Source organism: Homo sapiens, chromosome 3 (assembly GCF_000001405.40).
Source record: "Homo sapiens chromosome 3, GRCh38.p14 Primary Assembly".
Lineage (NCBI taxonomy): Eukaryota > Metazoa > Chordata > Mammalia > Primates > Hominidae > Homo > Homo sapiens.
In genome coordinates, this window is record NC_000003.12 from 97,427,525 (window position 1) to 97,443,602 (window position 16,078).

A 16,078-nucleotide genomic window follows, 5' to 3' on the forward strand; every position below is an offset into this window, starting at 1 on the left:
TGGGGCCTACTGGAGGGTGAAGAGTGGGAGGAGGAAGAGGGCCAGGAAAAGTGACTAATGGGTACTAGGCTTAATACTTCAGTGATTAAATAATCTGTACAACAAACCCCATGACACAGGTTTACCTGTGTAACAAAACTGCACATGTATCCTTAAAGTAAAATTAAAAAAAAAATGTGGTACATATACACCATGGAATATGATGCAGCCATTAAAAAAAACAACAAAACCATGTCCTTTGCAGCAACAGGGGTGGAACTCAAGGGCATTATCCTAAGCCAATTAATACAGGAGGAGAAAACCAAATACTGCACGTTCTCACTTATAAGTGGTAGTTAAATGTTGACTATGCATGACACAAGGAAGGGAACAATAGACACTGGGGCCTACTTGAGGGTTGAGGGTGGGGACGGTGCTGTCTATGGGGCACTATGCTGATTACCTGGGTGATAAAATAATCTATACCCCAAATCCCTGCAACACACAATTTATGTAACAAACCTGCACATGTATTTCCTGAACCTAAAATAAAAGTTGGACAGAAAAAAATATATGAATAGTGTATATTAGTGAAATGAATGAACAGTTGGTATTGCCCCAAAATGGTAAGCTTTAGAAATATAATTTAGTCCCAGAAGACTACATATAATATAAAAATATTTGTAGAAACCTCAAAAACATACGAAACTAAACAATATATTATTTATGTAGCTTTAAGGATGTGCTAACTTTTTATTTTTATAAGTAAGGAAATGATAAACAAAATTCATGATAGTAAATATCTCTTTGAAAGAGGGAGGAGACTGGATAGGGAAGGAACACAGAAATACAAGTTAAGGAAACTATTAAATTACTATATTAATGTACAATATTGCTTATGATATTTCAGAATTTATATCACTTTAGTATATTTTAAACTAATATTTCATGAAGCTTATATCATGGATCTAGTCTCACTAGATGTTTTACCACTATAGTTACATGGTCAAATTGATTTGGAAAATGTAGAATATATTTTTATTTCTAGAGTTTCACAGATCACATGGGCATATTAAATGCTCAGAGAAAACCTAAACTAAGCAACCTACATATTTTATTTAACTGGGTGTTTTCCAAATACATTTTCCCTCAGTGGCGACGAGGAGAGTGTTCTCCCTTTAAGAGAGAGAACGGGCTACAAGGAGGGTCTCCAGCTACCACAGCTTCAAGGATTACCTGAAGGTTCACCTGAAAGCCCTCATTCTGCCTGAGATCCGGGTACTAGAACCAGACCTTTCTTGCTGAATACAGAAATGCTCAAAAGAGCAGTCTCCTCTTGGGACTCCTAAATGCCTGGCCAAGACTTTCTCAGGCTTGCAGTGCCATCAGAGACATTTTCTACCCAATCCTCCTTCTTTAACTCTCTCTTCTCACAGGCATCGGGCCTGTATTATGGTCTGAAAGAGCTTTCTTGCCTCCTCTCAATTCCTCACCCCTTTGACTTGGACAGGTGTTTCTTTTCATAAATACCTTCTCTTTCAACATCATTTAAGGGTTGGCTCCCAAGAAAATCCAGACTTACACAAGCCATGATTTTTTTTTCCATAACAACACATAATTCTTGGTAATAGTGTTCCAAGGAAACGCTTTGGGAAATGATTTAAGCCAAACCTTTCCTGAGTTTCCAAACTTGATTTCTGGCAAGTGAGGAAATTATAGAAACATAAATTTGGGCTTTAGTTCATCCATACTTTTATAGTAGGAAAATATCATTTTTAAATTATGCATGTATCTTTTTTTCCTTTGAATCCTTTATTCATTTCCTTCAGAATGAGGGTTATGGAAAATTAATCCCCGGTGGCAGAGTGAATCCCTTAAATTTCTTTTACCAAATAATCTTACCATTCCTATGTATGGTGTTGTTTATTTCACTGAAGTATGAATTTGAAGCAAGTACTCTAAGGAAGAAAAAATATAACAGTAAATATATTTTGTTCTTTTTTAAATATCACATGGTTTTATTTCTTATCTGTTCTTAATCAGTTTTTATAAGGACCTCAGCCGTGAGCCTAGAGATAGAAAAGAAAGATGTTTCTTTTCACCTATAGCATATTCGAAAGTTTAAATGAAGTTTATTCAGAGTCCTTAGTTTTACCAATTACTTTTTCCTTTCTTGGATGTACAAATCTTTAATACACTAAATGCAGCTTCTATAATTTTAAACAAATCCATTCTTCAAACCAAACCAAAGATAGAATAACTTTTATAAAACAGGAGACACTTTAGAGGTATAGTTAGTAGATATTTGTAATTTTCATGTGTTTGCAGACTCTGCAATGTTGCTGTCAATATATTTTTAGTTTCTTCCTATTTGATAAGGGTATACCATACAGATGCTGCTGTGGATGCAGTATTGGCCCCAGTCAGAGTCTTGTTACCATGAGAATCTCTGCTCTAGGCACTATGGCCCTCCGTGGGCTTACTAAGCCAGACAAGCTTCCAAAGAGAATGTGATGTTTGCTGAACAACATGGAAATTGGATATAAAACCTTTATTTCTTTTTTAAATTAATTTTTAAATATCACATAGTTTTATTTATAAATGAAATTAAAGAATGAATAACATTCATATTCAAACTGATGAAAAAATTGGCACAGTAGGTATATTACATTGGGCATTACTAAATAGTCTATGCCTCATGAATAACTTATAACCAGAAACATTTTTGACACCCTCATTCTTTGTAAATTTCAAAGAATATTTGAAGTGATTTAATGAATATGGCAACTATGGAAGAAAATAGATTCAACAAACTAATACAATGACAGTTTCTGATTTTAAATTAAATACCTAGAAGTGATTTTAGGGGACTAAAATCACTAATAATTTTTCCAAGGTCAGCAACTAAAATTTCAAAAAATATAAAATATCTTAGAGTATCATTTATTCACACAATGGTCTTATTAAAGTCTTAGATGACAAATACCTCTGCTAGGTACTATAGATTTTTATTGGAATAAGCCTCAAATCCTGGAACCTGAAAAAATACCCTACATTGGAATTCATTTTCAAGTACTTATGACTAGAATGTATTTAGCTTCAAAACTATAATTTGATTTTCATTCACAATAGTTAAATAATTCTTTTGGATGGGCATTTTCAAATCAAGAAGACTAAATTCATTACTTTAATGAGATAAATTTTAAATGAACCACTTTTTATAAAGCATTCATATTGGGTAATTTTTGTAATGCATTTCTCTTAATGCTTTCAAAATGTCCTTTCTCAGAACTCTTGTAAGGGAGGCTGAGTTAACAACCTATTATTATGTACTCCTTACTGAGCTGTTAATAGCTTTACAGTCTCTCAAAGAACACACCTGCTGCTCATAAAAACATTTGTGTTGCTACAGAATTTGGCTGTGTTTTAATATCACGTATTTGCAGTGACCTTGTAGAATCCGTACTGATTCTATATTTTTAGGGAAAAAACAACAATAAAGAACATTGTCCATTTATTTGAGTATATTAATGGAAAATTATGAAATAATTTGATTAACCTAAGGGTTCTAATATTTGAAAAGTTGGTTTTCAATAATGGTTTTAAATTTCTTGGTAATTTTTTACACTATGTGAGATTGTTTCTATTTTCATTTTTGAAAGTTTGTTATCTCAATTTATATGTGTTGAAATAGGTTTATTTTCACATATGTGTATATTTTAATTAGAAACTGATGGCTTAAATTCTATTAGAAATATCAACATTTCCATAGATTAATTGAAAAAAGTAAAAATTGAAATTAATGTAGACCTTTTAAAAACTTTAAGTCAAAAATATCATAAGTCTATAATGAGAGAATGTAAAATTTTAGTTAAGGCAGTATTTTTAAAGTTTGTCATGGTTGAATAGAATATAAATTAATTGTTTTTGGCTAAGTTTCAGTTGGCAAAGGCAAATTGTTCCCCAAACCTGTGTTTGATCCTTCCATTTCAGACAAGGACATTTAAAAAAGGCAATCAATGCAATAATTATTTCCATATGTCCCTTGATTCGTGTGATTTTTATGGATAAACCACAGCAGGTGGATGAAATCTTTCCATCCTATCTAATTTAGTAATACCTGAATATATATAGCTATTACAACTCCTGTTATCCACAACTCCTTGGTAATTTTCCTCCTATTTATTGAATTATGCATCACAGCATTTTTCTTTCTCATGTTTAACACGTTTATACTTTTAAAAGACCACCAGATAGTTCTTTTCATATTTTAAAAAGATCAACAGATGGACTTAGTTCAATTGTTGGTTAGCACAGGAATGAAGGGTTTTATTGCTGTCCACCTTCAACATGGCAAACAGATAGCGGTACCTGCCAGATGTATAGTCCTTCTAAGCTCCTAAAACATGCAATAATCAATGATTATTCCAAATCACTATTTTTTACTCTTGAATGTCAAAATGGTTTCATTGTACCTATGACAGCTACATTTACAACTAGTCAACTGGTCTTATCTACAGAAACAGGCAACTGACTTAAGACTCAAGTTACTGGCTATATAAAGATACCTCAAGACGTTGATGTTATTCCCACATATAGATCTCAACTGCCACTTAATTACCTAAAGTGCCAGACCCCTGGGAATTTTGCTGACTTATCCTACTAATTTTCTTGACATGGAATTAAAAGGTGGTGGTGTTCTGGGAGATTAATTTACTAAACAACAAATGCAATTCCATCCACTAACTCAAGGTATAGTTTATTATTAAAATATTACTTCTTACTCAAAGTGACAAATGTTTTCAGCAACAACACAAATATCTATTTAATTACGTTCACAACAGCATTGATAATCATTCTAACATTTAATGAGGATGTCCCAGCTTAGAAATCACTTCACATGCATTAACATTCGACTCATTACAATATTGTAAGGTGGATAGAACTGACGTTTTATGTTACTTTTTAACAAAGCATGCTGTGTCTCAGTAATAAGATGAAAGGCTTATGTTCACCTGTCTTGTAAGTCACAGAAAGAAGCACTGTTTCTTGAAATTCCAATCCAGTGCTCTTATTAATAAAGTGTATTAGTCTGTTCTCATACTGCTATGAAGATACTACCCAAGACTGGGTAATTTATAAAGGAATGAGGTTTAATTGACTCACAGTTCCACATGGCTGGCAAGGCCTCAGGAAACTTACAATCATGTGTAAGGCAAAGAAGAAGCAAGGACCTTTTTCCCATGGTGGGAAGAGAGAGAAGAGCCAGAAGCGAATGGGTAAGAGCCCCTTATAAAACCACCATATGTCGTGAGAACTCACTCACTATCACGAGAACAGCATGTGGGAAACCACCCCCATGACCCAATCACCTCCCACTGGGTTTCTTCCTTGACATATGGGGATTATAGGGATTACAACAGGAGATGAGATTTGGGTGGGACCACAGAGCCAAACCACATCATAAAGTCATTTAGTTTGCAATATAGAAGATCCTGTTAGAAACTATAAAAGAATTAGAAACCTCAGTTTAAAGCACTGTGAAGCTCATAGTCTTTTCATCTACGGCATAGATATCCTCCTAAACTCAGTATGGTGGTAAAAACTGAAATGGAAATGCAAATAAGGAAAACTGGTTTGGCCTGTTCTCTACAATTTGCCTGTTCTCTATAGTTTGCCTTCATAGATGAGCACAGGTATGTAAGTTAATTGTTGTGATAAAAGAAATAAGAGTTTCGTTCTTCCTAATGAGTCTCTTACCTTACATAGTAAAAAGAGAAGTGAATATGTGTCTTGAGGTCATTAGTGTTATTTGATGAAGACTCAAAATCTCATGAAATACTAACAAAATATAATCTTTTTAAACCTTAATTTTTTTTGGACATAGGCAAATCTCATTTTAATTGCAAAAGACTTCATTTACAGCACAGTCAATAATGAACCAACAGGAGAGTTGCTGACTTTGGAACATATGAATATATAAAAATCCCTTGCAATTCAGGTAGTCGAGATAATAAGGGCATGCAAGGAAAGCAATCCTCATTTTTCTGAAAAGTTTTACATTTTAAAAGGTGACTAGGCATACTTGGAAGTTCAAAGCAGTAGGATGTACCTTGCAGGGAAAGAAGGAGGAAAACCCTTTTCCATGTTGTTAGAAAAATGTATATCAAATATATCCCAATTCCATTTGACAAAGTCAGGTGGATGACCTCCTTGAACCAGGCTAGGGCAGAACACTTAGTAAAAGTGGGCCCTGGGTGAGGATGCGAATCCAGAAGAAGAGCACCAGATCCCCTGCAGTACCAAACATATCCGTTCCACCCTCTAACACAGAAGAGGCACGTTGCCCCATGTCCCTGGACACGGGATACATGAGAACAGTCATCAGATGGTTACTACCCCCATGGCTTGGTGCTTTCTAATGGTGTTAATTCAGGCCATGGAGAAAATCCTTTACCACCAAACACCTTAAATTTTTATGTTAGACTAAGTACTTTGAATTTCAGAGATTCTTATACTATGATTAGAATTGTGACATTTCTGTATATGGAATCCATATTATTATTTCTTACATCTGTGCTTCTCAATATATTACTGAAACAGAAAATATAAAATCTAACATAGGTAATATGTAAATCACTTAGTGACATTTAGCTGTATTGCAATACCTCACATTGGAAGCTGCATTGTGTAATAAGTAACAGCATAGAATTTAGAGCTAGACTTCCTAGGTTCAAATCCAAGCCCTATCAGTAATTTATTGAGTGATCTTGTCATCTGTAAGACTTAATTCATATAGTAGCTTTGAGAATTTTCTTGGTTTTGAGAGTTCTTCATGCCTACAACATAGTAAGCAGTATGAAAGTGTTCATATTAAAAAAAAGTTAACTGCAGTATGTCCTGTGTAAACTTTCAATTGATTTATTTTGACTAATTTGACATGTCATTTCAGGCTAAAAAGTCATACGTCCTTCCAAAGAACCAGATAATTGTAGTGTTTATTTTGGTTAAGTTTTGTGTGTGAAGGCAAAATAGCATCAGCCAATCTAGTGACAAAAAAATAGGATCAGTGAACTGTTCCATATTAAAATTGAGGACTGTTAAATGCAGAATAATGTTTAATCTTGTTCCAGGTATCTATTATTGCATAATTTTTAAGCCAAAATGTAGTGGCTTAAAAATTATAATTCATAAATATTGTATCTCTTGAATCTATTAGTCAGGTATTCAGACAGGACAGAGCAGAGGCAGCTCATCTCTGCTTCACAATCTGGACCTCAACTGGGATGGCGAAACAATGGCTGGTGGCTGGAACACCTGCAGAATGGCTAGGCATCATCTCATCATACTCTTTCTCTCTCTCTCACCTCTCTTTCTTGCCCTTCTTCCCACCCTCCCTACCCCTTATTCTTGCCATCTCCATCTTTCTAAGGCTCCTCCTCCACATGATTATCTTGGGCTTCCACATAGCGTTGCAGTCTCAGACCAGCCATACATCTTAGATTGCCATACAGAGCTCCAAGACAAAAGTTTAAACTGCCAGTTTTCTTTGAGGCTGGGCCAGGAACTGGCAGCTCATCACTTCTACCCTACTTGGTTGGTCAAATCAGTCATATACTAGATCAGATTCAAGGAAAGGGAGCACAGATTTGACTTGTCAATGAGAAGAATGTAATAGAATTTACAAACATCTTTATTTTACCATGCTGCTTGATTTTAGGCCTTCATAATATTACATTATTTGCTTCGCTTCTCATTTGTAATAATTTAAAAATATGTATTTTCAGTACTGGGTCAAAACAAATTTATTAATTTTGAATATGCATGACATCCTAAAAACTTGAAGTCTACTTAGTAGTTGTATTTGTATCTGGAAATATTATAGGGTAAAAAATAGTTAATTCATAAAAGCAAATCAAAAGGTGAGAGAAAAAATAAAGAACAAAGTTGTGGAAAGAAAACTTCCACAAATGAGTTTTTTCAGTTATTTGAATCTGGACTATGCATTGAGTTGAGCCAATGTATTTACAACAATCAATATATACAGATGAAATTATCCAACTTTGAAAATGAGATTTCTGCCTGACCAAGGAAATAGCATCCATTACTCGCTCCCAGACCCCTAAATACATAGTCCATAAATATTTAACATGGGCAACATGTGTGACCTCTGCAGAACAGGGCTCTTCACTGCCGTGGAGTTATCTTTTACTCTAAATTTAACTTATGGCTTCATCCTAGGTATTTTTCTTTCTTTCCAATTTGATTTTAAAACCAGCTTAGGTTTATGAGTAGATAAATTTGTTCACTCTTTGATAATAATGCAGATTAACATAATGTTTCTGTAAAATGACCTTGCTTTGCCTTGAATTACTCTACTCGCATTTAAAACTATCTGCAGATATTTTCACATTCAAATGTTTAATTTTAAACACCTTATTAGAACTACAAAAACCTTTTGTGTGCGAAGGTGTGTACTTCAGGAAGCTGTCAATTATTACAATGTATTTATTAGTATTATATTACTTATAGTCGCTCAGTGATGAGATATTTAGTTCCCAGTTACAGTATCTTGACAAGCCTTTATTTTATGTTATTTTATTATAAATCTTGAGGCACACATTTGATATCTTCTGAGGAAATTCAAAATCAGTGATGAAGTTAGATCATTATTTGAAAACATTGGGTTATTTAGAGCATAATAGGATAATTTTCAAGTCAAGACTATATAACTTACTTATAAAGAATGTTAAAATCTTTATTTTGGGGAGGAGAAACTGGATTTCTTGAATCCTTTGTAGCTTTGTAAATCAATCTTAAGAGATACCTGCTTTAGTTTTTGAACAAAACAAATATATTGGTATCAGATCACAATTAAGGCTCACAAACAAATATAAAAAAAATTTAAAGTTCCACCACGGTGACAAAATACATTTAAATGGGAAAAAGTGAAAAATAAATAATTAGAAATTGTTTTTTCCCCTGTCCTAAATGAGGGTAAGGAATTCTCATGCTTATATATTTAAATGAATTTCTGCTGCATTTTCAATGCAAGAGGCAGCTCTTATATTACTGTTTTGTGGCCGATTTGGACAAATGTGTGACTTTACATATATTCACAAATGATACTGTTTTTCAGTGAAGACATTCTTGCAAAATAATTTTTCATGTTTTACAGGCAATTTCACTCTAGTGAAAATTTACCTTTCTTAGCTTTCTTATTTACTTTAATTCTGTTGGAAACTCTAGCAACCAAAAGACAGTTTTGGATGCCAGTCAACCAGCATTTGCTCTCTGGTAATTTCATCTTCAAAGAATTTTTATCTGCTACCTTTTATTACTCTTAATCTGTCCTATAATCCAGTTAGCACTACTGTAAAAAAATCCAATGCACTATAGTTCTTAGATAAATTTTATTGTGTATAATTAAGAGATACAACAAGTGCATTCAACCCGCGGCCCACACGTGGCCCAGGACGGCTTTGACTGCAGCCCAATACAAATTTGTAAACTTTCTTAAACATTATGAGATTTTTTTTTTTTTTTGCGATTTTTCTTTTTTTAGCTCATCAGCTATCATTAGTGTTGGTGTATTTTATGTGTGGCCCAAGACAGTTCTTCTTTGTCCAATGTGGCCAGGGAAGCCAAAAGATTGGGCAACCCTGGTATACAACATGATGTTATGGAATATGCATGATTTTAGAAAGTTACTATAGTGAAGCAAATTAAAATATCCATCATCTAGATTTTTCTTTTTGAAGCATATATTATTTCCCCCACTTTTGTTGTTTTTCAATCCGCATCCCAAAATTAGATATAATTAATCAAAGGACCATGCACATGTTGCCTTTCTAGTTTCCTGCCCCTCCATTCTGCCATGTCGTTATAATGGTTTAACTTTGAAAATGTTCAGTTTGACATTTGGAATAGCATTTATATTTGAATAAATCAACATATGTGTATTAATGTTTCCAAAGATACTTAGCGTGTTATTTTCTCTCAGTGGCATTTGTTGCTAAGTTATGCTAACTTTTATCATCAAAGTTGTTTTTATCTAGCATTTATGTGGCTGTTTTAATACTTGACCTAAACTACTGACATCAGCAGGAATTTGTAAACTCTTCTAAGAATGCATAAACTAAATGTAATACTCAATTTTTTGGTTGTTGTTTTTGTTTTTGTAGAAACGGGGTCTCACTATATTGCCAAGGCTGGTCTCAAATCCTGGCCTCAAGTGATTCTTCTGACTCTACCTCCCAAGGTGCTGGGATTACAGGTGTGAGCCACCACACCCAGCCTCAAATTTTCTTATAATAAATATATTTTTTCCTCTCCATTTTCCCCCTTTCAAGTCATTTTATCTATCCTCAGTAGTCCAATAAATATGTATTCTTTAAATGTTTTGCTCTCTGCTATTTATATTTCTGAGTTTTTTCTATCCGTATATTGTTATTACCAAATTTATGTGTGATTTTAAAATTCTAGTAAATGATCTAAAACTTTAAGAATGAATGACAAATTTAAAGTTGTTGTTTGACTATAATATACTTTTAACAAATACTATTAAGAAATGTTGGAATGAAGGCATTTTCTTCAGGGCCAAGTATCAAACTTTAAACACTTAATTTTTAGTTGAACATCATTGTAAATATTTATAGAGTGGTAAAGCACAGAAGAAAAATCTGTATCTCATCTATCTACAGGTAGGCTACATGAAGACAGACGGGAAAGTTAAAACTGAATAAATATCAAGAATATGTATTAAAAGATATTTCAGCACAAATCTTAGTTTCTGTATAGCATACTGTTTTGTAAAATATTTTTGGCAAGTAAAATCTTGGACATTCTCCACAATGTTCCTAAGAAAACAAGTATGCTATACTGACATAATATTATTACATTTAGGTTGTAGAAGCACTATATGCTAGCAAAAGTAATTTTTCTCATCTCCCATTTGAATTGTCATTAATTTATGCCAACAAACTTTTAATTGCTCTAATAATATTTAAGAATTTAAAAGCTAAGCTTATGGAGCAATTAATTCATTTTTTAATTCAATCATTTGGACAATATATCATGAGAGCCTACAATATGCTAGGCATACTGTATTAAGTAGTTGGAATATAAAGGTTAAAAAGCAAGTAAACACAACATTTTTTAAGACTTGTCACAGCATCTGCAAGATGACCTTAAGGCATGAGCCTATCATTGCCCTGGAATAAATGCACCACCCATTGATAGTTACTCTTAAAAGAAAGAAACAATGCTACGTTACACACCTGCTGGATCCTGTAAAACAGTTTTACATATTATTTTGGTTTATCTTACAACAAGCTTGACCCTTTGATATAGGTATAACCTTTCCAGTTTTCATAGATGAACTGACTACAACTAGGACTCTATTGGTCTCATTCTAGCACCAGTATTTTCAAAAGATCACACTTTAATAATTAGGCCATTTTCTCTAACAGTAAATATCACTATTAAAAGCAGTTCGTTATCTATATATGTTATCTATTTTATTAAAATCAATTACGAATGTTTAATTCCAGATCAATATTCCTCTATCATCAGTGTACTTCTGTGCCTTCTCCTACTACTGTTCAATATTTAATGTTCAGGAATGCATTAAATATTCATTTTAGGTGAAACAAGGTACACATTGGTAGGAATATATGAAAATAGTCATGAATGCATTTCAAAGTGATTTGGGGTTATCTGTAATTTTGGATTACTGGGAATAATCAAGAGTTGATTGTAGTAAATTATAGTAGTAGAATACTTAATGATACGTCCCCAGAAATGCAGTCAAAAAGTAGTTGTGTACATGGAATAACTACTTCTACATTTTTCTTACTTATACATATTTTGCAATTTTGCCACAACAGTGGCTAATTTTTACCTAAGAAAAACATTTTAGAGCACCTTACCCACTAGCTTAAACCACCAAGGAACTTCTTAACCCTTTCTACTCACCCCTCACCATTAGAAATTTCTTCTTGTGCATTTTAATGAATGCGAGAAAAGACAACAACTCTGTTGGTTGCCAACAACAGAACCCAGCTGCCACTACTATTTAATGTTGTCACAATGGAGAATCCAAGGCAGAGTGGAACTTCCCAGCCTCAGAAAGGCAGAAACCAGGAAAGCTAAGGTTGTTCAACTTCAGTGATGTTTCTTTGTCATGGGTTCAGTGAAGTTTCTCATCATGGGTTCATTTACTTAGGAAAAGAATTATATAGTTATTCTAGCTTGCTCTTGTTTCTGGGACAGTTGGCCAGCCCCATCTTACATTACTGGTAGATTATAGTTAGATCTGGTTATAGGAGAATCAGTGTGAGCTGAAAGGTATCCTAATGTGTGTCGCTATGTCAAAGCAGAAATTTTAGTAGTTCAATTCCCAGTGATATGTGACCAGAGCTGCAGTAGGTACACCTTATGTTAAATGGTTTAGCGATTCCTTTGTGGATATCAATCAATTGACATTACTAAATACTGACTATGCATCCAGCACTCCTTTGTTTCATTTTGTTTTGTTTTTTGAGGGAAATGTAAACTACATTTTTCAGGAAATTGCAGCCCACTTTAGGATACATACGGATGCACATTCAATAAGTAGAGGAGGGGACCAAATCGTATAAAATTAAGTGCTAAATGCTGGTTAGAATCAAAGAATTTAAAGATTAATTTATTTAAGATGTCTAATTTCCTTACTGTGTAATACCTTTAAAATATTCAAATGCCAGTCTTTTACTTCCTTGGACAGTTTTAATCTGTTGGAAATATAAGGCCAAATTGAGAAATATATAGTCATATTAGAAGATTATAAAACATCTTACAGGCACTCTCTAATGAAGAATTTTCTAAAGAGTTTGATTTCCTCAATTGATATAGCATATTGCTCCTAAAATTCTGAAATTTTACTAATTATTTTTAAACACTTAAAAGCATTCATACATATTGATCTTATATCAGGACAAAAAAATTTCAACAAATTTCCTGTAGCAGAAATAATTATTTGCAAACCATTAACAAAATCAGAGAAATTAAAAAAAACCCACCACATCTCCAATCTATTTATTTTAAAAATTTTAATTTTATATTAAATAATATATTAAAGCATAATAGACAAATTATGAACTATTTAAAATGAAAGACATTAAGATCCTCACATATCTAAAACTGTGAAATGTGACCAATGCAGAAAAATAAATTAGAAGGAATGAGCAAGTGTAAAATCAAAAATTAATGAAATAGAATCACTAATATTTGATTTGAAAATCAAAAGCCAGTGTTTTTAAAAGATTGATCAAATAAACAAGCTTACCTAAAAATAATAGGAAATGTTATTTACGTATGGAAGAGATTTTTAATAAGACAAGACTAGATGTAAATATATATCAATAAATATAAAGGAAATATAATAATTTTACGGTAATTATCAAAACTGAATAAGGAGAAGATTTGAATATAGCGTAAAATAATTTTAAATGATAGTCAAGTGTGTACTACCAACATGGTCCATTTCAATTAAGTTTTCAAAGAGCAGATAATTCCCATGTTGTGTCAGTTATTGCAGAACATTAATAAGTGGAAAGTTTCACAATCCGTTCTCTAAATATAGTATAACCCAAATATCGTGAGATTGAAAAAGAAAACTGTAAGCTGAGATAACTTATAAGTATATGCTTAAAAATTTTAGCCTGAAATATTACCATATTGAATTCAAAATTACAATAAAAATTCTAATATATTATGAACAAGTGTTAACAGGAAGGGTTTATCTTAGGAATGCAAAGATAGTTCTGCCTAAGTATATACTTTATTGAGAAAAACATAAAATTCACTTGGCAACAGATAAATTGTTTTATAACATCCATAATTCATTTCACATTTTAAAAACAAAATACAGACAAACAAAACTACAATGGAAGAAGAAAACGTCCTCAACTAGACATCTGCCAAAAATGTAAGTCAGACATAATTATATTTAACCATAACACAATTAGAATCTGTTTGATTAAAGAAGAAAAGAAAAAGTTTCTGTTTTTACTGTTACTTTGCAATATTATGCTAAAGCATTGCAATAAGAAAAAAAATACATAAGAAATTGTTTTTGGTTTGCACAGTAAAATATTATAGATGAAGTTATATAGGTCTTACATACTTTTTGTGATATATTTAGGTATTATAAGGTTTCTGTTACTATAGTGACTAAAATATTTAAAATGTAATTATAAGTGGTCATTGCTAGTATACAGGAAAACCACTGATAATTGCATGTTCACTATGTAACTGACTTCTCTTGATTAATTCTAAAATTTTTTTAAGTTAATTCTCTCGGAGTTTCTAAGTAAACATTTCTAACTAACAGAGAGAAAATGATGATTTATTTCATTCAACCTTTAGGAGAGACATTTTCTACATATATTAAAAAACTGTTATTTTTAAGTTTTGTAAGATAATTAAGTTATGCTTTACAAAGAAAGAACATATACTTTATGATTTGGCTAGAGTAGAATAAGATTTTCTCCAACTAGCTTTAAAAAAAGGAGTAGATTAAAACTTCGGATGAATCAAGGCAACTTAGAAACAAGAATAGAAATGGATGACTTTTTATGACTATAAGCTCTTTTATCATTATTCCTATTTTACAGAAGTGGTATAACTCAGTTCCTGGGTTCACACATAACTCATTCTGGTACTCTATTTTGTACATCTTGAACTGGAGTGCACTCAGAGTTGGTAACTATTCAGGAATTGATTTATTCTAATTAAATGCTAAAAGAGACTGAAGAGGGCTGGGCATGGTGGTTCACAGCTGTAATCACAGCACTTTTGGGAGGCCAAGGCGAGTGGACCACTTGAGGCCAGGAGTTCAAGACCAGCCTGGCCAACATGGTGAAACCCCGTTTCTACTAAAAATACAAAAATTAGCCAAGTGTGGTGGCACGTGCCTGTAGTCACAGCTACTCGGGAGGCTGAGGCAGAAGAATCGCTTGAACCACAGAGGTTCAGATCACACCACTGCACTCCAGCCTGGTTGACAGGACGAGACTCTGCCTCAAAAAGAGAGAGAGAGAGAGACTGAAGAACAAACCAGAATATTCACGTATTAAATATACAGAAGTCTGCCCTTTCCAAGAACAAATATATTTATGTTTGCCCCTACAGAGCTTGAGAATCCACATTAGTAATCAGAAGATTGCAACATTAAAGTAGAAATATGAAAAATATTAAGGACTCTTTCAGCCAGAATATGATGACTATGTGTACCCAGGTAGAACTCATTTTTAAAAGGGTCAGCAAAATAAAGTCCACGGGGTTCAGTGTCTATTTCCTTTGGAAAGTAATTGTTAAAGGCTGACCAAATCTAGTATTCAAACTTTTCTTTTCCCAGAGCCATGTGAAATATCTTCCTTTCATTCAAGTAAAAGACTTTCAGCTTTGCTAATGCCATAGTTCAGGCAATAAGATTTTTTGATAGCCTTTCTAACTTTAGGTTCCTAGGCCCTGCAATTCTTGATTTATCCAGGCAAAATACCTTTCTGCAGATAATAAATCATGTTCTAAATGTGGTTTTAATTCGTTTATTTTTGTTTATTTTGAGAGGATTATCCTGGAAACATCTCCACAGTTTGATGAATGTGAGTGTGTACATTTGTGAGTGTGACAGAGAGGCAGGGTGAGGAAGTCAAACAGAAACGGAGAGAGAAAGGATGTAAATGACTTAGATGACTTCTAGTGGAACCATTAATATCCTTTTTTATATTATTTTGTTTCTCAAACAACCTGTAGCTTCAGTCCTCTAGCCAGTAGAACAAGAGCTTTACCACTGTCTTAATTAAGACATCGCAAAAAAAAAAAAAAAAAAAAGATTTGGATAGTAGAGTACTACATATTAATAGCACTTGGACCTATTCCTGCACTTGCACCTATATTTTCAAATCGGTATGACTTAAAGCCAAGAAGTTATCTTTACACATCAAAACTTCTAAAAGAGTCTCCTGGACTTTATTAAACAAATTCTATTCCCAGGCTTGAACGAGAATACTGTATATTCCATGCAAGACTGGGTGATTTATTTGCCTCCTATATT

At 33.0% G+C, this 16,078-nt stretch overlaps 1 protein-coding gene across 16 annotated transcripts in view; it reads left to right on the plus strand.

The window, feature by feature from the left end:
• Positions 1-16,078, plus strand: part of EPHA6 (EPH receptor A6) — a 946,939-nt gene that overhangs the window by 612,931 nt on the left and 317,930 nt on the right. For 3 of the 16 annotated variants that reach the window (XM_017006217.2, NM_173655.4, NM_001278300.2), the window contains exons 1-2: positions 12,083-12,133; positions 13,892-13,948. The exons of 11 other annotated variants lie outside the window; for them this stretch is intronic. The gene's annotated coding sequence lies outside the window, so the exon portion shown is untranslated. Of the gene's footprint in view, positions 1-12,082; positions 12,134-13,891; positions 13,949-16,078 lie in introns of those variants that run through there. 2 more of the 16 variants (XM_017006215.2, XM_017006216.2) reach the window with 1 other exon arrangement.